Consider the following 26,619-nt stretch of genomic DNA (forward strand, 5'->3'; position numbering starts at 1 on the left):
TTCCTAGGATTTCCATTTAAACAGGGTTAATTTGGAAGAATCTTCAGGAGTGGAAAACTCTCCAGCTGGTGCTAGACCAAAGAGAAAAAACAAGAAGTCTTATGATTTAACTCCGGTTGATAAATTTTGGCAAAAACATAAAGGAAGGTAAGCAAAATATCAATAAGTAAAAGATTCATTTTTTTAAAGAGAAATTAAGGTGTCATCCACCTTAATGAATTTGAGAAAAAAAAGGGTCATGTAGGTTCGTTCACCCAATGAGTGGGGGCTGTAATTAGATAGTCTGTAGATATTTGTCTTTATTTCTCCATTTCTCACTGATTCCTAAGTTGTTTTTTGTTCATTGTTGTTTTATAGGGACCGCTTCTCCTTTCAATGAGATCATCCTATACAGATAGTCTTTTTCAATTTTGTTGCTGTCTCCACTGACTCTATAAGACCATCTCTGCCTTTCATTTAAATTGGCTTTTGTGATTTTGGGGGTGATTTTTTCCTTTTTGTTACATGTTGCCCTCATGTAAACCTTGTTTTAGATACTTGTGGAGAGAGTACCTAAGCCTAAAAGCCTAGAAATTTATTCAAAGTACATTAGAAATAATGAGTGATAAAACTGCATTAATTTGCCATGTGATTTACTGTGGGCAGATATACATATCCCATGTGATGCTATGCCCCCTTAAAGTTTAGGGTACTTCATGGGCTCAGTTACTGCTATAAAAGTTATCTAGTGATCATTATGGCTAGAGCCATCATTCTAAACAAACAAAAATATTATTCCTCAGAGAAAAAGAATACTGTTCATCAACAATTATGAAAATATGATTTTTAAAAAATATTTCAAAATGTGTGTGTGTCCTTGATATAGCTGTTCTTTTTGGGCTTATATTTATTGTTTAAAGAGAAGTCGAATATAGACTTGGTTCAACATGCTGGGTTTTTAATATGCTTTATCTTTTTTTTACTTACAACTTTTTTTTAAGCTGGAAAATCAAATCGCCATAACAAAGATTTGACTTTCTCTGCAGAGAAAAGTCACTGTCTTTCTCTTTCTCACTATGGCAGTTTTAGGTACTATTTTAATTAATTTTAATAAATTTGATTTTAAATAATACTCTTCCCTTTGGAATTCCATAATCTACGTTTCCCTCCAGAATGGTGAAGTACAAGAAATTACTTTTATTAGAGAGGCATTATTTATAGAGAATACAGAATATTTTGAAGTTGGCATTCCCTAATAGAGAAAAGCTTAAGAAAAAAATCTCTGTATTCAAATATGGAAATTTTGAATTTTTTTAGAACATATGTTTAAGAACAATTTAAGAGGTCAGTTGAATAGTAAGAATTTTAACCTCCTATTCATTAAGTAGGAATAGCTCTTTTGCTCTGCATCTTACATACAATAGTAACATGGGCACAAAGACACTTGGAGATAGCATAAACAAGTGACCTAAACCTCTCTGAGCTTCAGTTTCCTCATCAGTAAAATAGGGAGATAATAATTCTACCTATTGCCCTATTTCAGAAGGTTGTTGAGAAGATTGAGATAATGAATTTAAAGGAGTAATTTGCCCAAGTCATCCAGCTTTCGTTGGTAAAGCCAGGGATGAAACCCAGGTCTTGCAGACCATAAAGCACCCAGTCTTAACATTGAATAGTTAAGTTATGATAGTTACCTCAACAGATTCATCAGGATTAAATGAGGTTGCAGTGAGCCGAGATCACGCCATTGCACTCCAGCCTGGGCAACAAGAGCAAAACTCCATCTTAAAAAAAAAAAAAAGAAAGAAAAGATAAATTCTTAGCATGGTGTTTGATGTATAGTAAAATCACTTAATAAATGTGAGCAATTATTCTCTGTTAACTCTGAGACCTAAAGATATCAGAGATTTTGAGGATTATCCAGTTCAACCCACACATTTTACAGATAAAGCTAGGGCCCTGAGAGGGTAAGAGCTTGCCTGTAAAGGAAGTTTCCATTATAATTAGATGGAACAAGGGTTTCTGACTCCCCAGTGCAATGCTGAGGCCTCAGTGCTATTTTTTGCCAACATAGACTCAACTGGAGCTGGAGTAAATGCCTGTGCTTGTGAGGTAAAATTGGACTGTGTTCCTCAGAATCCTTTCTGAGCTCCTGTCTTTTCTGCTAGTCTCCATTGGATAAAATGTGCTTGTTATTAGAGAGGTATTTTCAGATGTCAGAGCTGAGGAAGGGGGGAAAGGTTTTTGTTCACTGTTAATGAGACATGACCTTTTCTTTCTTAAAGGAGAAAAGGCTTCTGGCCTCCCCCTAGGCTGTAGATGAAAAATACTCATTTTAAGAAACATTTAATGATCAACATGTATTCACCTAGAGTTTGTCAAGATTAGTACAGTGTTTTCTACCTGAGTGCTCATGATTGCAGATCACTTCTGCCTAAAGTCTATGTAAGTTACTGCTAAACCACAATGTCCTGGTAGAAGACATCAGGTATTAGGCCACCAAAACTGTGGCCCAAGTGCTATTTTTACCAGTAGTGTTCTGGGATATTATGAGTTCTGAGTTACAAGAATTTTTTCACAGTTACTTGCAGGTGATATTTTTAAATGCTGTCTTTGTAGTTGCATGGACCCTTTGACATGACGTGTTAATTTGGATGGGAATATTTAATTGATATTTGATATAACATGACTTGTCTTCCATTGATTTTCAGTCATGTAAATATTTTACTTTTTCTTCTAAAAACGTATAAGTGAAGAGAATGTATGATACTGTTAATGAAAAATAGAAATGAAATTTAAATTTTAGATGTATATTATATGCATTTTAAAGAAATAGTATTATATAGATATCAGAAAGATATGTAGTTGTATTTGTGCTGAATCTTTTCTGCCTTTGTTATATATAACATATATTCAAATCCAAATAAGTATATTTAAAATAATAAATGTTCATTGTATATATTTTAGAATTTACACAAAAATTGGTCTTTTAATGTCATCCTCATAGTTCTTGTGCAATACTGTTTTAGTCCATTCCCAGAAGTTGCAGAATCAGTTCAGCAAGAACTAGAATCTTACAGAGCACAGGAAGATGAGGTCAAACGACTTAAAAGCATTATGGTAAGATTCTATTTGCTTTCTAAGAATTATAGGAAAGAGGAGGATTATCTGTTAGATAAAGAGATTTGGGTTTTTTTCCTTATAAAAATTGAAGGCCATTTAATGCTTTTATAACAAAAATATTTTCAACTTGCGTAAGTGATCAAAAAGAAATCTAAATATTGAGAAGAGAAAAAATAATATATGATTTGAAAAAATATATAATGTAGCATCATTTTAGAGATGTATGTTCCAATGCTGCTCATTCTACCATACTTCGATGTAACTTCAGATTTCAGCTCTACTGTTTATTGCTGTGTGACCTATGGCACGTCTCTGGGCCTGTCTCCTTATCCAAAAATGCCAGCTGATCATTTAGACATCTAACCATTAGACTGGCGATTACTAGAACTTTTATGTAACATTAAAATATATATGCTTGCACCTCAGAGGAGGAGAATTACTATTCTAGGTGACTTAAAAATCTTACGGTATATCAATAATCTTAGGATATTTGCTCCAATCTTAGGATGTGTTGATTTTTATGCTTGTGCCTGGGATTTTTGAGTAGCTATTGAGACCTTTTTTCTTTACAAGGGACTAGAAGGGGAAGATGAAGGAGCCATAAGTATGCTTTCTGACAATACCGCTAAGCTAACATCAGCTGTTAGGTAAGTGAGCAGTATATCCTCTTTGAAGTCTTTCTGTTGATAGGATTTTTTTTTTATTTAACTAAAAAATTGTTAATGTTTTTAACTAGTAGGAAACTGTAGGCAATAGCAAATATAACTTTGAATTTAAAGAACTAAATTGTATTTAGCTAAATGTTTAAGCCGATTTTAGTTCCCTCTTAGATATAGGAGATTATTCATTCTTTCACCAGTTAGAACTGTGTAATAGGGGTAATTTTATGAGGAAAATACTATTAATGATAAAGTAGGGCAAGCGATTATTAATTTTATTATAGATACTGTTTTCTTAACTAAAAGTTAAACAGTTTTTTCTGTACTTTGAATGCCATTAAGGAGGGAGGAGGCTGGGCGCGGTAGCTCACGCCTGTAATCCCAACACTTTGGGAGGCTGAGGCGGGCAGATCACAAGGTCAAGAGATTGAGACCATCCTGGCCAACATGGTGAAACTCCATCTCTACTTAAAAAAATAAATAAATAAATTAGCTGAGAGTGGTGGTGCACGCCTGTAGTCCCAGCTACTTGGGAGGCTAAGGCAGGAGAATCGCTTGAACCTGGGTGGCGGAGGTTGCAGTGAGCCGAGATAGCACCATTGCACTCCAGCCCAGGCGACAGAGACTCTGTCTCAAAAAAAAGAAGGAGGGAGGAAATGTGTTTTAGAAATACAGATAACGCATGTTTCCATTAATTTGATTTTATTTAAACCTCCAAAATTTGGAATCAGAAAGTAAAGTGATAGAAATAATGATATTTGGGAGCCAGATTATTTTAAAATAAGCATTTCACCTGTATTAATAAATACTGTAGGTGTTCAAGTCTAGAGATTAAATTAGTTGATAGTTTAATTCGTCATCTTGTTACTGTTTCACTGTTCTGAGTTTCCACAGGGGAAACACCAGGCATGAGATAAAGTCTATGTCATTTTAGAAAATTTATTGGTTAATATTTAATTTTTTGATACTTGCAGTTCTTTGCCAGAACTCCTTGAGAAAAAAAGACTTATTGATCTCCATACAAATGTTGCCACTGCTGTTTTAGAACATATAAAGGTAAATTTAACTTTTTCCCCCCCACAATATGACTTGCATTTACATAGGGTTTTATACTTTGTAAGATGCTTTAGTATTCATTATCTTATTGAGTCCCCACTGTAACATGAAGTATAATTATGGAAGACAGCAGTATTATAGTTATTTTTTTGCAAATAAAGTAACCTAGGAATCCAGAAAGATAAGTGATTTCCAAGGTCACATGTTTAGTAAATAGAAGTGGGAATCTATGATATTTCTATTATATTGCACTGCCTCAATATCACTGCTGTACATACTACTGTATTAATAGTAGACTTGTATCTCAGCATCAGTAATAGATTTGGAAATCTCTTTTACCAGAGTTCTATCTAAAATATCCATTAATAACATCACTTTTATTTATGTGACTTTGTTCTGAACTTTTTAAATTTAGAGAATCTGTTAACATTGAAGCTTCTTACTGTGTATCATTGAACTGTGATTTTGAAACAAGTATGTTGGGAGTTCTATATATTGTTATAGTTCTTTTTCTCATTACCGTGTTCATGATTGCCCCATTGTCAGCTTACTTAATCAGTCCTTCAGTATTCTGCTATTATTTGTTCTCCACACTTGGAGCTGAATTTCTGTGGCAGATTGACCATATGCTAAAACTTGGCTAATATTGACCCCTCCTTTCCATTTTATATGATGCATTTGAAACTGTTTAAAAAGCTGAATATAATTGCTGGCTGTCAGAGAAGTTGATAACACCTGGGATTTATTGAGAAGGTACTTAAAGGTATTATTTAAATAATTTTAAAAGCCACAAAAGCATTAGAAAGGCACTAACATAGATAATGGGCAGCATGCAGTTTAAACCTGCATAATTACTATTACGCCAACAACCTAATTTTTTTCTTTGTTTCACATCTTGGTACTTGATATTTTTCAGGTTCATACAGGAATAGAAACAGAACTGCAGTCTGTAGGTGATTCTGCTGATGTTTTCACTTCTATATGTAGTGTCTCTGTGAAATGGCAAAAGGCTGTTCAGATCTGTTTACCTGAGGTCATTGTCTCTTGTGGAGGTGATACAGATACAGATATAGATGTATAGATATATCACCAGGTGAAATACAACAGAGAGCTATATTGAGAATTTCCTTCAGGTCGGAGACTAGAACTTATAGTTTGAGAAAATTTTGGTTAATTTACTTATTCAATCATGTTTATTGAGTGGCTCTATGTATATTGTACTAGGCCCTGAAGATACTGTAGTAAACAAGACAGACAAGTTCTCTGTTCTCTTGAAGCTTATATTGTAGTGACAGTAAACAGAGTAAGCAAATTAGAAAACAAGTTAACTTCAGGCATTTTAGTGACATGAGAACAACAAAAACAGCAGGGTGATGTGAGGCAATGGGATATGAGAATGGCTGAGAGGCCTACTCTGGAGTAAGTCTGCAAGTGAAATCACCTTTGATGAGGTGATGTTTGAGTTGAGACAGGAATCACAGAAAGGAGCCAATTAGTGAAGATCTCAGGGCCAACCATGCCAGGCAGAGGGAATAAGAAGTGCAAAGGCCCTACGACAAACAAATTCGGTATGTTTGAGAACCTAGAAAAAGACAAATTGTGCTTTATTGAGGAGGGAAAGAGTGATGGTAGAATATGGAATCAAAAAAAGTAGAAATTTAAGTATGATAACTCATTAGAGGTTAATGACATGATCTGATTTATGTTTTAAAATAAAGAAGACTGTGGAGGATAAGGGACAATGAGTTCTGGAAATAAAAGTGGAACTGGAAGACAACTATTATAGATGTGTAGGTGAAAAATGATTTATAAGACATAATTTACTTACGAAATTTTTATCGTGCTTATTATAATTTTACACTAATGATTTTAGGTGAGTTTTTCAGATCAGTTTTTGCTAACAGAGGCCATCTGTCTGAGATAGTTTAATATGCTACCATGCCCAACCTAAACAATTCTACTTGAAGACCTCTTGGTCTTATAAAAGAAAGTGTTCCCTTTAGGGTTGCTAGTTCTCTGGCAGAGCATCTTATGCCAAGAAACTAATCTGTCATTCAAGATATTGAGTGATTTTATGTAAAAGATAGATTTTATTTATTCACTTATTTATTTATTTTGACAGGGTCTCTCCCTGTCACCCAGGCTGGAGTACAGTGGCACAATCATAGCTCAATATAGCCTTAACCTCCTGGGCTCAAGGATCCTCCTGCCTTGCCTCCCTAGTAACTAAGACTATTGGTGCATTCCACCACACCCAGTCAAAAAAATAGATATTATTGAATCATTATCTTGCTAATGATCCTTTTTCATCATAAGATCTGATTTAAACAAAGTGTGCTATTGAGGACATTCACTTTACAGAGGGAAAATAATGTCATCTGTAGAACACACTACTCCTAGTTGGGTCATTCTAAGAAGCCCAATTAAAAATCAGAAGTTTTTTTTATATCCTAGATAAAGAAGCATATTTATTTTAAATATTTTAAGTTCTTCCTTGTCAAAAGTAGCAGATAAACTGTATTGTTCTCATTATTTCTCATTATTCCTAGTTACAGAATTTCTTATAACTTTTCATAACTCTTAAATTTCCATCCTTATAAGCGGCATGTTTATTTATACCATTACTATGTTAAGCCACCTACTGCTGGCTGTGTTAATGTTAATTAAAGAAATATTTTGCTCCGTAATCTCTTCTCTTTTCACCAGAATTTCTTGACCATCTGAGCTTTACTTACTTGTGAACATACATTCACCTAAGCACCTTTTTTTTTTTTTTTTTTTTTTTTTTTTTTTGAGACAGAGTCTCACTCTGTCACCAGGCCGGAGTGCAGTGGCACACTCTCAGCTCACTGCAACCTCCACCTCCTGGGTTCAAGCGATTCTTCTGCCTCAGCCTCCTGAGTAGCTGAGACTACAGGCACGGACCACCATGCCCAGCTAATTTATGTATTTTTAGTAGAGACAGGATTTCACCATGTTGGGCAGGATGGTCACCATCTCTTGACCTCATGATCCACCCGCCTCGGCCCCGCGAAGTGCTGGGATTACAGGCGTGAGCCACCGCGCCTGGCCGTAAATATTTTTTACTAGCTAGAAGATTGTGTCATGTAGAGGTCTCAGCATTTCTCTTAGTATTTGACTGTATTAGTTTTACATATTTCTTCTTTTGTTTAGAGTATAACCGCTTCTTACATTTCCTTCAGTCGTTTTCTAAAGAAGAAATTAACCTTTTTAGAAATCCTGGCAGTTACCCCGCAATTGATGTTTTGGTGGAAAATTAGAGCACACCAGTTTGTCATAACTTTAAGAAACATTTTCACTTTATTGATATTCTGAGGATTTTAGTGATTTGGGTAATTTGGGTCTAATAAAGAGTAAATTGTTGAATACTCATTTGTTTTGAGTCATCTATATTTTTAAACCCTTTCTTTAGTTGTTTTTTCATCCCTAATACAAATGCAACTTTCCCACTTGCTGGTTGTTAGAGAATGGCTTCTGGGATTACTTACATAATTTGTAGACAGCCTGTTTTAATTATTCTTAGCTCACCTATGTAGCAAACCTGAATAAAGTACTCTTTAGCTCCAGATACCTAAAGAAAAGAAGCCTACTTGTAAAGCATAGTTGATGAGATGAGAGAGAGAAATGGTATCATGGGTTCTTTCCCCCAGTGTTCCCACCTTAGAGGAAAAGCACCCACATCTGAATGCTCCAACCAACCGGATATAGCTGGTAAAAAATAAGCTATCAATAAACTTTGTGAGGCAAGGCTTAATTGTTACTGGATCCTCATTTTTGTTTTACTTGTTCTTATAGACAGTCTTATAGGGACTGAATTAGATCTAAAGACATCATCTGATTAGGTGATGATGTCTGTACTCTAAAGAAGGCTTAACCCTTGTTGGCAATGCTAGCTTTTCACTAGTGTTCCTTCTGAGGACTGACTTTTTATTTTTATTTTTTGGTTCAACTGCCTTATATTTTTATGGGGAAGATAAGCTTTCAAAATAAAGTGGAAACTCTCTTAACTGATCTCCACTTAGTCACCACACCAAATTAACTGATGCCCTCTGTAAACCACAGTGGCCAGTAGCCACATTATTAACATGTCATAACAATTTCCTTATTATCATCTTGTGCCTTTTTCTGCTCTCATGATTGGATTTTTTTTTTTTTGCTTACTAATGAGTTATTTGTGTTTTATTGCATTTATGTCAATTGTATGAGTATGAAAAGATTGTTTCTATAAAACTAAGTTGCACATCTTAGAAAGACTCAGTGAACATGATGGTTTAAATAAATATTGTTTGAATTAGGTGTGGGTAAAAAACCTTAACCATAAAAGATTGGAAAGCCTCAGAAAATACTGTATTTTACGGAAATTGCTTTGCAATGTCTCTAAAATTTTTTATTCCACTCCCAAAGAACTGAACCTGGAAATCATAGGTGATTTCTGATAGGTGTGCTTTATGCAAGAAAGAAAAAAAATGTCAGTCACTGAATCTCTGTACTCAAAGAAGAAGTCTTGGACATAGATCAGTGATTGACAGACTGCGTATTTTAGGTCTTAAGTTAAACATACAACATAGATCCTGTTTTATTCTTCACATAAACTGACTTTTTTTTTTTTTTTAACATTAACTGACTTTGATTAACTGATCACTATTGCTCCTGATCACATTAGAGGTCTTTTACTGAACTAGAAGTCAGAACATTTCTTTGGCTGGATTTTGTGCTGATTTGTTTAAAATGATCTCTTGTCCAGTATGCATATCAAGTGAAAGTTCTTATTACCTTGGTGTCTTTTCTTTAAGACAGAGGAAAAATATATTCTGTATCAGAAAGTTCACAGTGGATGAGCTATCACTTGTCTTTTATCTCTTCTCATCTCAAGATTAGTTACTATGAGAATCTGAAGTATTTTGTTTTGCTTTGTTTTGTTTTTTATTGCAAGTATGACAAAAGATAGCTCTTCAGTGAGTGGAATATCCTTCAACTCCTTACTGTGAATTTCTGGAACTACTTCTACATCTCAAAAAAAATATGTATGAAATCAACTTTTTCTTGCTCTTGGCTCTCACTTCCCTAATACCTACTTTTATGAGGATAAAGCATTGTCATTTAGCAAGACCTAGTTTAATAGGTTCATAAAGATTAAATTCAAAGGAATAAAGACATCTCAAAACTCAATAATGAGAAAGCAAACAACCTGTGTTAGCCAGGGTTCCCCAGAGAACAGAACTAATCCTTGGCTGAAAATACAAACATAGGATGTGGGGTTTTTTTTCTTTTAAAGGGAGAATGAACTTTTTTTTTCACTGTTACATAAGATATTTAACATAGTAGGTATATTCCCACATTCTACAGAGGAGCTGAATCTCAGAAATACTGAATACTTGCCTTAAGACCATCTACCAAAGCCTGAATTTTAACTTGGGTTTTTAAGTCCCATGTTCTCTCTACCATGCTGTAGTTCCATAAAACATATCTACTAAAATTCAGTGAGAATGGTTTGCTCTTTTGTAATCCCTTTGGAGTAACCATAGGATTAGGAATAATTTAAACTGAAAAATAACAACTAAGCAAGGTTTGGTGGCATGCACCTGTAATCCTGGCCACTCAAAGGCTGAGGTGGGAGGATCTCTTGAGCCTGGGAGTTCAAGTCCAGTTGACCAACATAGCAAGACCCCCATCTCATAAAAAATAAAAATAACAAAAAATAGAGAGTAGAAGGGAACCTCTATAGTCTGTGATTTTTCTTTGTTGATGTCCTGTTTTTAATTTCACTGGTTCTGCTCTAATTTTTATTATTTATTTTCTTCTGCCTATTTTGGATTTAACTTGCTGTTCTTTTTCTAAGTATATCTTTTAAGAGTTCAACATTCAGCTGGGCGCGGTGGCTCACACCTGTCATCCCAGCACTTTGGGAGGCCAAGGCAGGCAGATCACTTCAGGCCAGGAGACCGGCCTGGCCAACATGGCAAAACCTCATCTCTACTAAAAATACAAAACTTAGCTGAACATGGTGGCGCACACCTGTAGTCACTCTGGAGGCTGAGGCATGAGAATTGCTTGAACCTAGGAGGCAAAGGTTGCAGTGAGCCGAGATCGTGCTATTGCACTCCAGCCTGAGTGACAGAGTGAGACTCTGTCTCAAAAAAAAAAAAAAAGCGCTCAACATACTGGTTGAATAAATTAAAACTAAGTGATTTCTGAGAGCCATAAAAAACAAGACAACAGTTTACAAATACCACGGAAATATCATAAAGCAGTTTTCAGTATTTCGTGATAATAAGGTCACTTCTGTTTATATTTTTTATACTTGCCATCTATAAAGATCATTTTGTGTACATTTTAAATTTTTTATATAGATCATTTTAGTCTGAATTTAAATATTTTTAGCATAAGTCAATACATAGGATAAATTTACAGATTAAATATTGTGTTCATATTCTAAAACAGATTTAAGGCAGCTCCCTCAAATAGCACATAGAATGAAAACAATCTGATAAAAGCTCACAAATAATTCAGTAAAAGCTCAATAGTTATAATGTTAATTCTCAAATTTGGCTTTGAATTTTCTCACAGCCAAGATAAAAAAGAGAGAGATGATTAAGATAAAAAAACCTCTGTCAGAAAGATTTTCTGTTTTTTATTCTAAGCAAACCATTTCTTAGCATCACATTACAAAAGACATTGCTCATATTGGGCATTATCTAGAATAAATTAAGTGATGTAATGAGGTAGTAATTAATATCAGTTACCCTTATAGATTTCATGTGACTGTTTCGTATAGCAACTTTCATGAAACCCAGGGATATAATATTAAATACAATTCAATGAGAGCAGTTCTATGAGTTACCAAGGTAGCCAAGTCTATCGCCCTCTAATGGTTCCCTGTATATGTCCTGTTCTTAAACTAATAGAATTTTTATTATCTAGAGTGGAAAGATTGCATATTCTTTGAATAATCTATAATATCATTTTTTCATTTTGGCTTTTGATAGGAGTTAGATAACAAGTTGAGGTTATACATTCTGATTTGGTCCTGGAATGCTAGAAATTCAATGTTTTTGGTTGAGAGAAAAAATGCATATGTTTGGAAATGAAATAACCAACTAGTAAGATTGATAATCTGTTGTAGAAATTGAAGAAATAAGCTGGTCTCTCACCTTGATAGTATACTGTCCCATCTGTGTACAGAAGAGAGGTAGAAGTAAAATGAATTTTGTTCAAGATTCCTAAGTCACTATGGCACATGAGCTAAGTTCATTGTAGCTTGGAAACCCAACAAGTAAATATTTTCAGTCACTTGTATCATAGAACACCTTTAAATACAATTTTATGGTTCATCTTGATTTTTTGTAACATAATTTTTCACATTGACAAATCCATGCATATAGTGGCAAACCCACCGGTATGAATTGCAACAAAATGCACACCTGAATAACTGAAAATAAATTAACCAGCTATTTTGTTATATTATACAAAGCAATTGAGTTTTGGAGAATTCCAGTTATCTTGCAGGGCACTATACATACAATAATGAACAAGCAGTCTCAAGGAGTTTTTACTGTAGTGACATATACCAACCATAGATGATTATAATGCAGCATTACTGGTGCTACCCACCTGGATATCCAAATACAGCCCTGAAAGATGCCAGGAATTAAACATGTGAAGAAGTAAGAAGAAACAGGAATGGCTAGAATATAAACAGTCTTCAGCTTAGGTGTAGGTGATATTCTAAAAGTCTGGTTCTAAGTTCATTGTAGCTTGAGATATACTTTTTTTTTAATGACCAAAATGTATTTATTTAATATACATCACAAGGGCTCAACTGAGGCTTAATTTAAAAGACAAAAACAAAAATAATATCACAGCTCATGATACAGAGTCTATACAGAAATCACAAAAAAAGACAGACCATCTAAGGAAAAGTTAAAAAGACGACACAAGGACAGGCTGGGCAGCCTGGGTCAGGGCTCCTGACTGGTGACCTGTTTTGAGTAGGTTTCTTGCAGATACTTCTTAAAAGCTGTGGGGTTTTTCCAGGGTTTGGCAGCATGTGTGTTCAAGGGGCTATCAATGTTGGGTTCTCCTAGTAGGCTGGAGATGGAGAGTGTTCTGGATGGAGAGCAGAATGGTCCTGATGTCATACAGGGCAGACCACTTGTCCTTCAGGATGTCCAGGCATATGTTACCCTGGGTGTCCACACTGGGATAGTAGCAGGGTGTGAGGAATTTCACCTGGGTGCATTGTAAGGGTAGTCACTGGGGAACTCTAGTGAGAGCTTATGCTTATACCTCAGGTCTTCATATATTGTGGCAGCTGCTCCATGGATGGCCCCTACCCATGTGAAAAGGTGGTCTGATTCAGGGAAGGCAGAAATGCCCTTGCTGCCACACATTATGAGTCATGAGCTCCTGTTGTTTTGCCCATGGGACCCCCAGCGGCACCCCAGCTTGGCTCTGCTCCTTTGTGGGAGGCTGCGATGCTAGTGGTGGCTGGGTCGCAATTTTGGGAGGCCATCCAGGCGGTGCTGGCAGAGACAGGAACTCGGGAGAGCTCATGACTGCAACTGGGGGGTATACTTTCCTATAGATATTACGTCGTAGGTAGATTTCTGTCTCACAAACCCTATCTAATTCATAATCTGGAATATTCCTAACATAGCATTGCAACATAGAAAGGTTTATCATTCCCTGTACCTCCTGAGAAGTAGGGAGAAAGGAATATTGAGTTCTTACTGGTAGAAAGGAGGTATAACTCTTTATTCCCTTCTTGTCTTTCTTTTCACTGCTGAATGGTTATTGGGGATAGAATTGGGGCTGAAGAAGAGGGAAAGCCAAGAAGTGTCACTCTAGACTTGGTCATCAACCCAGTCATTAGACTGAGGTAAGAAATGGGAATTATCGCTAGCAGCAAATGGAGTTCCAGAACAGTAGTGTCTATAGCTAGAATGGGGAGAGAAATAGTAAAAAGAAGGAAAAATCCCTGCAATTACTTATAGGAAGGAAAAGGGAATTTCTTTTGTGTCCTTTCTTGGTCGTCTGGCAAATGTCCCAGGTTATGGATTTTCAAAAAGCAAACGATGTGTACTTACCTGTACTTCTCAGATAAGTCTTTTTTAGAGACAAGTCTATGTTACCCAGGCTGCTGTTGAACTCCTGGGCTCAAGTGATCCTCATGCCTCAACTTCCTGAATAGCTGGGATTACAGGTGCATGCCACAGTGTCCAACTTTAGCGTCAGATAGGTTTTAAGATTATTCCCTTTTGGTGAGAGAAGGGACAAACTAGTTTTAGAAAGTGCTCCCTTTGTTCTTTCCAAACCCTGTGGGCTATAGCCAGTCAAATGTCTTACACAATCTGTATATGTATGTATGTGCGCACAGCATGTTAATGTTAATTTGATATAATATAAATTGAGGCAGTGTACTGAAAAATGAATGTAAAATCAGTCTGATTGTTTACCTGATGACTGAAATTTGGAGAAAAGCACTAGAATTTTTTTTTAATGAGATTCCTCCCATAGAATGTCCTTCTAAAAGGATTTTTGAGAAATGCATGGCTCTCAGAGTTTATGTTCATTATATATAATCTATATTCCACGCATAGTGCTTTTGATTGTCTAGAATGTTCCCCTTTTACTCACTTATTCTTTTTTTTTTTTTTTTTTTACTTTTTAAAATATATTTAAAGTCTCCAACACAATGCTGTATGTTGCAATTGTTTCTTTTTTTTTTTTTTTTTTTATTATACTCTAAGTTTTAGGGTACATGTGCACATTGTGCAGGTTAGTTACATATGTATACATGTGCCATGCTGGTGCGCTGCACCCACTAACGTGTCATCTAGCATTAGGTATATCTCCCAATGCTATCCCTCCCCCCTCCCCCAACCCCACCACAGTCCCCAGAGTGTGATATTCCCCTTCCTGTGTCCATGTGATCTCATTGTTCAATTCCCACCTATGAGTGAGAATATGCGGTGTTTGGTTTTTTGTTCTTGCGATAGTTTACTGAGAATGATGGTTTCCAATTTCATCCATGTCCCTACAAAGGATATGAACTCATCATTTTTTATGGCTGCATAGTATTCCATGGTGTATATGTGCCACATTTTCTTAATCCAGACTATCATTGTTGGACATTTGGGTTGGTTCCAAGTCTTTGCTATTGTGAATAGTGCCGCAATAAACATACGTGTGCATGTGTCTTTATAGCAGCATGATTTATACTCATTTGGGTATATACCCAGTAATGGGATGGCTGGGTCAAATGGTATTTCTAGTTCTAGATCCCTGAGGAATCGCCACACTGACTTCCACAATGGTTGAACTACTTTACAGTCCCACCAACAGTGTAAAAGTGTTCCTATTTCTCCACATCCTCTCCAGCACCTGTTGTTTCCTGACTTTTTAATGATTGCCATTCTAACTGGTGTGAGATGATATCTCATAGTGGTTTTGATTTGCATTTCTCTGATGGCCAGTGATGATGAGCATTTCTTCATGTGTTTTTTGGCTGCATAAATGTCTTCTTTTGAGAAGTGTCTGTTCATGTCCTTCGCCCACTTTTTGATGGGGTTGTTTGTTTTTTTCTTGTAAATTTGTTTGAGTTCATTGTAGATTCTGGATATTAGCCCTTTGTCAGATGAGTAGGTTGCGAAAATTTTCTCCCATGTTGTAGGTTGCCTGTTCACTCTGATGGTAGTTTCTTTTGCTGTGCAGAAGCTCTTGAGTTTAATTAGATCCCATTTGTCAATTTTGTCTTTTGTTGCCATTGCTTTTGGTGTTTTGGACATGAAGTCCTTGCCCACGCCTATGTCCTGAATGGTAATGCCTAGGTTTTCTTCTAGGGTTTTTATGGTTTTAGGTTTAACGTTTAAATCTTTAATCCATCTTGAATTGATTTTTGTATAAGGTGTAAGGAAGGGATCCAGTTTCAGCTTTCTACATATGGCTAGCCAGTTTTCCCAGCACCATTTATTAATTAGGGAATCCTTTCCCCATTGCTTGTTTTTCTCAGGTTTGTCAAAGATCAGATAGTTGTAGATATGCAGCATTATTTCTGAGGGCTCTGTTCTGTTCCATTGATCTATATCTCTGTTTTGGTACCAGTACCATGCTGTTTTGGTTACTGTAGCCTTGTAGTATAGTTTGAAGTCAGGTAGTGTGATGCCTCCAGCTTTGTTCTTTTGTCTTAGGATTGACTTGGCAATGCGGGCTCTTTTTTGGTTCCATATGAACTTTAAAGTAGTTTTTTCCAATTCTGTGAAGAAAGTCATTGGTAGCTTGATGGGGATGGCATTGAATCTGTAAATTACCTTGGGCAGTATGGCCATTTTCACGATATTGATTCTTCCTACCCATGAGCATGGAATGTTCTTCCATTTGTTTGTGTCCTCTTTTATTTCCTTGAGCAGTGGTTTGTAGTTCTCCTTGAAGAGGTCCTTCACATCCCTTGTAAGTTGGATTCCTAGGTATTTTATTCTCTTTGAAGCAATTGTGAATGGGAGTTCACCCATGATTTGGCTCTCTGTTTGTCTGTTGTTGGTGTATAAGAATGCTTGTGATTTTTGTACATTGATTTTGTATCCTGAGACTTTGCTGAAGTTGCTTATCAGCTTAAGGAGATTTTGGGCTGAGACGATGGGGTTTTCTAGATAAACAATCATGTCGTCTGCAAACAGGGACAATTTGACTTCCTCTTTTCCTAATTGAATACCCTTTATTTCCTTCTCCTGCCTGATTGCCCTGGCCAGAACTTCCAACACTATGTTGAATAGGAGAGGTGAGAGAGGGCATCCCTGTCTTGTGCCAGTTTTCAAAGGGAATGCTTCCAGTTTTTGCCCATTCAGTATGATATTGGCTGTGGGTTTGTCATAGATAGCTCTTATTATTTTGAAATACGTCCCATCAATACCTAATTTATTGAGAGTTTTTAGCATGAAGGGTTGTTGAATTTTGTCAAAGGCTTTTTCTGCATCTATTGAGATAATCATGTGGTTTTTGTCTTTGGCTCTGTTTATATGCTGGATTACATTTATTGATTTGCGTATATTGAACCAGCCTTGCATCCCAGGGATGAAGCCCACTTGATCATGGTGGATAAGCTTTTTGATGTGCTGCTGGATTCGGTTTGCCAGTATTTTATTGAGGATTTTTGCATCAATGTTCATCAAGGATATTGGTCTAAAATTCTCTTTTTTGGTTGTGTCTCTGCCCGGCTTTGGTATCAGAATGATGCTGGCCTCATAAAATGAGTTAGGGAGGATTCCCTCTTTTTCTATTGATTGGAATAGTTTCAGAAGGAATGGTACCAGTTCCTCCTTGTACCTCTGGTAGAATTCGGCTGTGAATCCATCTGGTCCTGGACTCTTTTTGGTTGGTAAACTATTGATTATTGCCACAATTTCAGAGCCTGTTATTGGTCTATTCAGAGATTCAACTTCTTCCTGGTTTAGTCTTGGGAGAGTGTATGTGTCGAGGAATGTATCCATTTCTTCTAGATTTTCTAGTTTATTTGCGTAGAAGTGTTTGTAGTATTCTCTGATGGTAGTTTGTATTTCTGTGGGATCAGTGGTGATATCCCCTTTATCATTTTTTATTGTGTCTATTTGATTCTTCTCTCTTTTTTTCTTTATTAGTCTTGCTAGCGGTCTATCAATTTTGTTGATCCTTTCAAAAAACCAGCTCCTGGATTCATTGATTTTTTGAAGGGTTTTTTGTGTCTCTATTTCCTTCAGTTCTGCTCTGATTTTAGTTATTTCTTGCCTTCTGCTAGCTTTTGAATGTGTTTGCTCTTGCTTTTCTAGTTCTTTTAATTGTGATGTTAGGGTGTCAATTTTGGATCTTTCCTGCTTTCTCTTGTAGGCATTTAGTGCTATAAATTTCCCTCTACACACTGCTTTGAATGCGTCCCAGAGATTCTGGTATGTGGTGTCTTTGTTCTCGTTGGTTTCAAAGAACATCTTTATTTCTGCCTTCATTTCGTTATGTACCCAGTAGTCATTCAGGAGCAGGTTGTTCAGTTTCCATGTAGTTGAGCGGCTTTGAGTGAGATTCTTAATCCTGAGTTCTAGTTTGATTGCACTGTGGTCTGAGAGATAGTTTGTTATAATTTCTGTTCTTTTACATTTGCTGAGGAGAGCTTTACTTCCAACTATGTGGTCAATTTTGGAATAGGTGTGGTGTGGTGCTGAAAAAAATGTATATTCTGTTGATTTGGGGTGGAGAGTTCTGTAGATGTCTATTAGGTCTGCTTGGTGCAGAGCTGAGTTCAATTCCTGGGTATCCTTGTTGACTTTCTGTCTCGTTGATCTGTCTAATGTTGACAGTGGGGTGTTAAAGTCTCCCATTATTAATGTGTGGGAGTCTAAGTCTCTTTGTAGGTCACTGAGGACTTGCTTTATGAATCTGGGTGCTCCTGTATTGGGTGCATAAATATTTAGGATAGTTAGCTCCTCTTGTTGAATTGATCCCTTTACCATTATGTAATGGCCTTCTTTGTCTCTTTTGATCTTTGTTGGTTTAAGTCTGTTTTATCAGAGACTAGGATTGCAACCCCTGCCTTTTTTTGTTTTCCATTTGCTTGGTAGATCTTCCTCCATCCTTTTATTTTGAGCCTATGTGTGTCTCTGCACGTGAGATGGGTTTCCTGAATACAGCACACTGATGGGTCTTGACTCTTTATCCAACTTGCCAGTCTGTGTCTTTTAATTGCAGAATTTAGTCCATTTATATTTAAAGTTAATATTGTTATGTGTGAATTTGATCCTGTCATTAGGATGTTAGCTGGTGATTTTGCTCATTAGTTGATGCAATTTCTTCCTAGTCTCGATGGTCTTTACATTTTGGCATGATTTTGCAGCGGCTGGTACCGGTTGTTCCTTTCCATGTTTAGCGCTTCCTTCAGGAGCTCTTTTAGGGCAGGCCTGGTGGTGACAAAATCTCTCAGCATTTGCTTGTCTATAAAGTATTTTATTTCTCCTTCACTTATGAAGCTTAGTTTGGCTGGATATGAAATTCTGGGTTGAAAATTCTTTTCTTTAAGAATGTTGAATATTGGCCCCCACTCTCTTCTGGCTTGTAGGGTTTCTGCCGAGAGATCCGCTGTTAGTCTGATGGGCTTCCCTTTGAGGGTAACCCGACCTTTCTCTCTGGCTGCCCTTAACATTTTTTCCTTCATTTCAACTTTGGTGAATCTGACAATTATGTGTCTTGGAGTTGCTCTTCTCGAGGAGTATCTTTGTGGCGTTCTCTGTATTTCCTGAATCTGAACGTTGGCCTGCCTTGCTAGATTGGGGAAGTTCTCCTGGATAATATCCTGCAGAGTGTTTTCCAACTTGGTTCCATTCTCCACATCACTTTCAGGTACACCAATCAGACGTAGATTTGGTCTTTTCACATAGTCCCATATTTCTTGGAGGCTTTGCTCATTTCTTTTTATTCTTTTTTCTCTAAACTTCCCTTCTCGCTTCATTTCATTCATTTCATCTTCCATTGCTGATACCCTTTCTTCCAGTTGATCGCATCGGCTCCTGAGGCTTCTGCATTCTTCACGTAGTTCTCGAGCCTTGGTTTTCAGCTCCATCAGCTCCTTTAAGCACTTCTCTGTATTGGTTATTCTAGTTATACATTCTTCTAAATTTTTTTCAAAGTTTTCAACTTCTTTGCCTTTGGTTTGAATGTCCTCCCGTAGCTCAGAGTAATTTGATCGTCTGAAGCCTTCTCTCAGCTCGTCAAAATCATTCTCCATCCAGCTTTGTTCTGTTGCTGGTGAGGAACTGCGTTCCTTTGGAGGAGGAGAGGCGCTCTGCGTTTTAGAGTTTCCAGTTTTTCTGTTCTGTTTTTTCCCCATCTTTGTGGTTTTATCTACTTTTGGTCTTTGATGATGGTGATGTACAGATGGGTTTTCGGTGTAGATGTCCTTTCTGGTTGTTAGTTTTCCTTCTAACAGACAGGACCCTCAGCTGCAGGTCTGTTGGAATACCCTGCCGTGTGAGGTGTCAGTGTGCCCCTGCTGGGGGGTGCCTCCCAGTTAGGCTGCTCGGGGGTCAGGGGTCAGGGACCCACTTGAGGAGGCAGTCTGCCCGTTCTCAGATCTCCAGCTGCGTGCTGGGAGAACCACTGCTCTCTTCAAAGCTGTCAGACAGGGACACTTAAGTCTGCAGAGGTTACTGCTGTCTTTTTGTTTGTCTGTGCCCTGCCCCCAGAGGTGGAGCCTACAGAGGCAGGCAGGCCTCCTTGAGCTGTGGTGGGCTCCACCCAGTTCGAGCTTCCTGGCTGCTTTGTTTACCTAAGCAAGCCTGGGCAATGGCGGGCGCCCCTCCCCCAGCCTCGCTGCCGCCTTGCAGTTTGATCTCAGACTGCTGTGCTAGCAATCAGCGAGATTCCGTGGGCGTAGGACCCTCTGAGCCAGGTGTGGGATATAGTCTCGTGGTGCGCCGTTTCTTAAGCCGGTCTGAAAAGCGCAATATTCGGGTGGAAGTGACCCGATTTTCCAGGTGCGTCCGTCACCCCTTTTTTTGACTCGGAAAGGGAACTCCCTGACCCCTTGCGCTTCCCAGGTGAGGCAATGCCTCGCCCTGCTTCGGCTCGCGCACGGTGCGCACACACACTGGCCTGCGCCCACTGTCTGGCGCTCCCTAGTGAGATGAACCCGGTACTTCAGATGGAAATGCAGAAATCACCCGTCTTCTGCGTCGCTCACGCTGGGAGCTGTAGACCGGAGCTGTTCCTATTCGGCCATCTTGGCTCCTCGCCCACTTATTCTTAATATTTATTGAAGCTACTGAAGAATCTCAGTTTATTATCTTGACCTTGTTATTTTGTTTTATATTTTTAATTTGTTCATTTTTTATGTCACTCTTATTACCCAAACTGTATTCTCTTTTGAGCCCATGTTGTAGAAGAAGATTAATCTTTGGAATTACAGAAGTTGCTTCTCTTAGTGTTTTCTCTCATTTCAAGAATTTGAGAAAAGGCCTATAGAAGGAAGCCATAAAATCGTTCTTGAGGGTAGTGTAATTTTCCCTATTTTCTGTGGTATACATTAGAGTATGACCTGTATTTGGATCTCAACTCTGTACTACTTCTACTCTGGTAGTCTTGAACAAATACATGTTTCTGTATGTCTGTTTCTTCATCTTTAAAATGAGATTAATAATTCCTAGCTCATAGTGTTATTTGGAGAATTAAATGAGATAATGTAAGTTAGTAATTTTTGAACACTGTTCTCTGGTACCCTAGAGCTGTATGGAGACATTTAATGGATCACTTGTATCTATTTTATGTTTAGGGTTCTGTAGAAGATTTGGTTTGAGAAAGAGGGTCCTGAGGCTCTCTCTTTAAAAACTCTTGAAAGCCATAGTTGTAAGTAAAGTGCCTTACACATGATAGGTGCCTTGAAGAGATACTAGTTCTCTTATGCAGGTTAGAAAATCTGTATAGCACTTCACTCCTTTTCCTCTTGGATGGTGCTCCCTCATAATCAGTATATTAAAGGGCTGTTACTTTTAACAGCTTTGTTGAGATGTAACTCACGTACTTTGCAATTCATCAATTTAAAACAAAACATTCAATGGATTTTAGGATATTTACAGAGTTGTTGCAACCACAATCTAATGTTAAAGCATTTTTGTCACCTCAAAAAGAAACCCCCTACCTAGTACCAATCACATTAAGTTGTTTTTGGACCCTATTTCCATTGTTCATTAGAAGCTGATGTTAATAAGTAAGTTACTACATCAAAAAGAGCAAAATGAACCAAATGCCTGTACTTACATAAGTCAGTGAGCCATGTTTTTTTACTGATTTATATAGTTCCAGAAATTAGAATCTGCTATGGCATTTAGCATACTTTATTTATTTATTTATTTATTTATTTATTTATTTATAGACAGGGTCTCACTATGTTTCCCAGGCTAGTCTCAAACTCCCAAGGCTCAAGCGATCCTCTCACCTCAGCCTCCCAAGTACCTGGGACTACAGGAATGTGCCACTGCACCTTAGCATACTGAGTTTTACATATGCAGTCACAAAATACTAGATTCTTTACGTTTTCCACTTCTAGAAGTTCGTTCATCTATTTTTATGACTTTTAAAAATGATTACTTGGTCTGTATACACCCCGTTCTTAGTTTCGAAATTCAGCAAATGCAAGTGCTTGTTATAAGCCAGGTGGTGGTAGACTCCTAGGGTTAAACAATTAATTAAACATGCTCTAAGGAGTTTACAGTTTTAGAAAGACACATAAACAAAGGACAGTAATATACTGTGATCTTTGTTATTATGATGAGGTGTATAAAGTGCTGTTGATACACAGATAAGGGAGTAATGAGTTATTTTGGCCAAGGAGGAGACTGGGAGAGGGTCAGAAAAGGGAGAGAGTAGGGATTGAAGGAAGAGTTGTAGAAAAGCTACAGAGAAGGTAGACGTTGAATGAGTAGAATTCACTGAGTAGATGGTAAGGAGGAATATATTCTGCAAAAGCTGAGAGAATAACTTGAGCCTAAGACTAGAGAATTAAAAGCAAACACAGTATTTAATGACAAGTTAAAGTTTAATGAAATAACTATTTGATGTGACTAGCGGAAACTGAATTTAGTGAATAGTGATAAAACAGAAAAGGTTAGCTGGATCAGAGGGCCTGAAAGTTAGTTTAACAGCTTATTTTAGCACCTTTCCCCTTCCATTCCTGACTTCACTCTGCAGATAACAGCTTTTCCCAAGCTAATATTCACATTAACAGTTCCTAGTATCATCATTGTCATTCCCCAAAGTTTTCTTTTTCTTCTTTCACTACTTTGTATCCCATATCCTTTCTCATGTAAATTATTAAATACCCGTCTTGTCCTTTCCATTCCCACAGCCACTACTGTGGCCTTTTTCCTAGAATCTCATATTTCTTTTGCTCATTTTTAGTATTATTGGTAGGACTTTCTCATTTCTAGGACTTTACTGTGTATCAATTTTAGTATTCAAACTAGCTTTATAGAGTAGCTAAAATAGTTCCTATATCAGAGAGTCTGAAGAATATGAAGGGCTGGAGAATTCATAGATAAGAGCTCACTGATAGGGAATCCTCTACATGCTGATGTAGAATATATTGTTCAGTGAAAGGAAAGGGCAGAAAAGTACAGTATCATACTTCTTGTGTCAGAAAGGAGGCGGATATTAGAATACAGACTCTGCTGATATTTGCACAAAGAAACTCTAAAAAAAACTAGAAGAAATAATAAAAGAAAATACCTATAGAAGCAGGTAGAAATGGGGTGGAAGAGGACGGGGTGAAAAATAAGGCTTCTCAGTATATGTCTTTTTATGTTGTATTCATTTTTGAACTATCTGGATATTTCATCTATAAAACTTTGGCCTTGCGTGCCACTGCAAGGGAGTAGCAGTGAAATGACTCTGATTTCTTGTTGCTCCATGTATCAAATTCACTCCTTAGTCTACTGTTTAGATGTTTCTACCTTGTGCCTTGGCATGATCTGTTTAACTGAAATGAACTATATCTATGTCCCTAAATCACTTTCAAACTTCAACTCAAAATATATCACTTCCTCCTCAATTGGCTATTTATTTCATTCTGCCTTTTAGCATAATGTATTTATGTTGTATATTTGTATATTGGTTCTACGTTGGTATTACTATAAATCCTAATATAGTTCATGAATGGTTTCCACTCCCACTTTGATTGTTTACACCCTTAATTATAAAAATTGTTTTTATAATTTCATGAATGGTTTCTACTCCCACTTGATTATTAACACCCTCAATAGTATCTGAATTATCTGAAGCATAACTTAAGAGTTATTTGATAATTTTTATTTGCTTTTGAGGATCTTAATATGTTAACTTTATTTGGATAATTTTAATCAACAAAATTTTCAATTAGGAAAGGTCTCACACAGCAAAGTTTTACTACGTTTCCGTTATCTTAAACTTCAAGATATTAAATAGGAAAACTAATAAGGAAAAAGTTTTTTTAAAAAAACAAAAAGGACAATAATTTAGTTTAAGGTAACTTTCCATCTAGTTAAGGTGAATATATGTGGATTTGCACACTAAAATAGTAAACATAACTTGACCACCTGACATGAATTTTGCATGGAGTACAATATGATTTGTATGCCAGTAACTAATTAATACAATAAGTAACAATTGTGTTTTTATCTTTGCTAATATATGTACGTTATGCAGAATTACTGCTGAATTTATCCATCAAATATGGTAAACAAAATAATCTGTTGGTTTTTTTCTATATTAAATATATATTCAAAAGTAAGACACTTTAAATTCTTTTAAGAAATGAAAGCCAGGCACAGTTGCTCACACCTGTAATCCCGCACTTTGGGAGGCTGAGACGGGCAGATTGCTTGAGCTCAGGAGTTTAAGACCAGCCTGCACAACATAGCAAAACCCCATCTCTATAAAAAAAAAATACGGAAAAATTAGCCAGGTGTGGTGACACATACCTGTGGTCTCAGCTACTCGGGAGACTGGGTTAGGAATGAGCCTGGGAAGTTGAGATTGCACCACTGTACTTCAGCCTGGTACTTCTGAACTGTACTTTTGACCTGTCTGAAAGAACATATCTTAAAATTGATCATAGAAAATAGAAACTTATAAGGTGAGTAGATCATTATGTATTTTAATGACTTAATATATTCTCATCTAATGTTTATTTTGAAACAGGCAAGAAAATTGGATGTATATTTTGAATATGAAGAAAAAATAATGAGCAAAACTACTCTGGATAAATCTCTTCTAGATATAATATCAGACCCTGATGGTATGTACCAAAAATTTGAGGTTAATGTAAGTTTCATATCTGACGAAAGCAGCATTTTCAATTGAGTAAACTTTGAATAGAATTGTTGTTTTTCTGACAGTCAATGCTAATATCAAGATAATTAAATGAGCTATTTTCTGGTAAAATTTTATAACTTAGCAGTTCCTACAGTGGAAAAATAATTTGCATTTCATTTCATTGAACTTTTATTTGATAGTATTTAGGCACATTTTATATTCACTTGTTTAAGGTGATATATGTAAAGCTTAATATCTGCTGGTTCCAGGAAGATTTGAAGGTATAACATTCAAAGCAAGTGTCTCTAAGTGATTCGCTTCCTAATTACTTTGGTCTACCCTCAATTTCCTGAAAAGATGTATCTAAAACTAAATTCTGTTTTACATGTTTAGGGAGTTTACTTTTAAAGGAACTCTATGGCCAATCACTTTAAATATTTGTATGTTAGATTTTCTTAAAATATAACTATTTGTACTTAGAAAATATGATCTATGGAGGCCAATATGTTAAGCAAAAGAAGCCAGGCGCAGAAAGACAAGTATCACATGTTCTCACTCATGTGGAAGCTTAAAAAGTAGATCTTATGATGATAGAGTTACCAGAGGCCAGGAAAGGGAGAGAGGTGGAGGGATGAAGGGAACAAAAAAATATAAACGTATTTTTTACCACTGAACTGTGCACTTAACAATGGTAAAGACTGGCCAGGCACAGTGGTTCATACCTGTAATCCCAGTACTTTGGGAGCTTGAGGCAGGAGGATTGCTTAAGCCCAGGAGTTTGAGACCAGCCTAGGCAATAAAGCAAGACCCCATATACACACAAAAAATGAAGAAAGTTAGCCAGGCAGGGTGGCATGCATCTGTAGTCCCAGCTACTTGGGAGACTGAGGTGGGAGGATCCGTTGAGCCTAGGAGTACGATGTTGCAGTAAGCTAAGATCGCACAACTGCACTCCAGCCTGGGTGGCAGAGCAAGACCTGGTCTCAAAAACAAACAAACAAAAAAAACCACAGGCAAAAATAGTAAAAAAAAAATTTAATGTAATCCAATTGTAGTTTTTAATTATAAAGATTGTGGGATCTACATAGAGTCTTAGTCTCTGAAATTCCCTAAACTTTAGAGACCTGTAGATCATTTCACAATAGTTTTGAATTCAAATCTCAGCTTTTTCCAAAACAAATGGAAAGCCTAGGACCCATTTTGCATATAAGCTATTTAAGCTGCATAATTATGGTTTTTGAGTTATAGTTTTGGTATGAATTTTAGACTATAATCCAAATTAGAAAATAATTTAAAAGTCCAAACTGTTTTATAATTAAAGATTCTATTTATACAAACATCTGAGAAGCCATAAGTATTGCTCACACTTTTAGAAAGCTAGATTTGTGGTGAGAACATAGCATTTTAAAGGTATATGCATTTTACAGTGAAAGAAATTTAAAAAGTTATATAAGTCTATCATTTCTGAGCTATTCCTTGTTATTTACAGTAACTTTCGAGTAAAGTTGAAACAAAAAAAACATGTTGACAGAAAGGCAATCAGTCCTGCTTTTTCCTTTCCCCTTTCTCAAACGATTTATCCCTAAAGATATTTAAGTAGGATAGAGCAAGGTAGGCATTCTTGCAAAGTAGCAGTCTGGTGCCACTTCGGTCCAGAATAAGATGTTGGAACCTGAGCAAGATGACTAAGGGCATCCACTCATGGAATAGAGGGAGGATTAGTAATCTGGCATGTCAAAGTTCAGGAAAGGAAAGCAGAGTGTCCACATGTGGGAGTAGTCTAGCAAGGTGTGTGAGAACCATAACAGATTGAGGAGGGTGACCCCTGCACAGGAACAAACCAGCTTGGGCCTAGGTGAGGTGAGACGTATGTCTAGGTATGTGGATGGGTCCACTGCAGGAAATCAGAGCTCAAGTGAAGTAAGAAGGGCATCCATGCAGCAAGCCCATGGAAGCAGAGATGGGATATTTGTTATATACA

At 36.8% G+C, this 26,619-nt stretch overlaps 1 protein-coding gene and 1 pseudogene across 14 annotated transcripts in view, besides 3 other annotated features; one reads left to right on the forward strand and one right to left on the reverse strand.

Moving 5' to 3' along the window:
* Nucleotides 1-26,619, forward strand: part of SCFD1 (sec1 family domain containing 1) — a 113,597-nt gene that overhangs the window by 47,995 nt on the left and 38,983 nt on the right. For 10 of the 14 annotated variants that reach the window (XR_007063993.1, NM_001283031.1, NM_001283033.1 and 7 more), the window contains 5 exons: nucleotides 8-147; nucleotides 3,009-3,099; nucleotides 3,676-3,749; nucleotides 4,736-4,817; nucleotides 24,525-24,621. Coding sequence is in view for 10 of the 14 variants with exons in the window: in NM_001283031.1 (NP_001269960.1) it covers nucleotides 8-147; nucleotides 3,009-3,099; nucleotides 3,676-3,749; nucleotides 4,736-4,817; nucleotides 24,525-24,621 (484 nt within the window). In the remaining 4 variants the exon portion in view is untranslated. Of the gene's footprint in view, nucleotides 1-7; nucleotides 148-3,008; nucleotides 3,100-3,675; nucleotides 3,750-4,735; nucleotides 4,818-5,513; nucleotides 5,571-5,733; nucleotides 6,609-24,524; nucleotides 24,622-26,619 lie in introns of those variants that run through there. The other 4 variants (XR_007063995.1, XR_007063996.1, XR_007063994.1 and 1 more) reach the window with 4 other exon arrangements.
* Nucleotides 3,989-5,188: an enhancer, noted in NCBI's record as "BRD4-independent group 4 enhancer chr14:31143443-31144642 (GRCh37/hg19 assembly coordinates)". NCBI's record gives its function as "activates an origin of replication core promoter dependent on BRD2, P300/CBP, MED14 and CDK7 cofactors, and independent of BRD4, by STARR-seq in HCT116 cells {active_cell/tissue: HCT116}" and the evidence as "EXISTENCE:reporter gene assay evidence [ECO:0000049][PMID:35650434]".
* Nucleotides 12,614-13,402, reverse strand: UBE2CP1 (ubiquitin conjugating enzyme E2 C pseudogene 1; annotated as a pseudogene).
* Nucleotides 20,023-20,112: an enhancer, noted in NCBI's record as "active region_8226". NCBI's record gives its function as "activates an Ori minimal core promoter by ATAC-STARR-seq in GM12878 lymphoblastoid cells {active_cell/tissue: GM12878}" and the evidence as "EXISTENCE:reporter gene assay evidence [ECO:0000049][PMID:35858748]".
* Nucleotides 22,297-22,856: an enhancer, noted in NCBI's record as "NANOG hESC enhancer chr14:31161751-31162310 (GRCh37/hg19 assembly coordinates)". NCBI's record gives its function as "activates a minimal SCP1, AML or CMV promoter by ChIP-STARR-seq in primed H9 embryonic stem cells {active_cell/tissue: H9 hESC(primed)}" and the evidence as "EXISTENCE:reporter gene assay evidence [ECO:0000049][PMID:30033119]".

Source organism: Homo sapiens, chromosome 14 (assembly GCF_000001405.40).
Source record: "Homo sapiens chromosome 14, GRCh38.p14 Primary Assembly".
Lineage (NCBI taxonomy): Eukaryota > Metazoa > Chordata > Mammalia > Primates > Hominidae > Homo > Homo sapiens.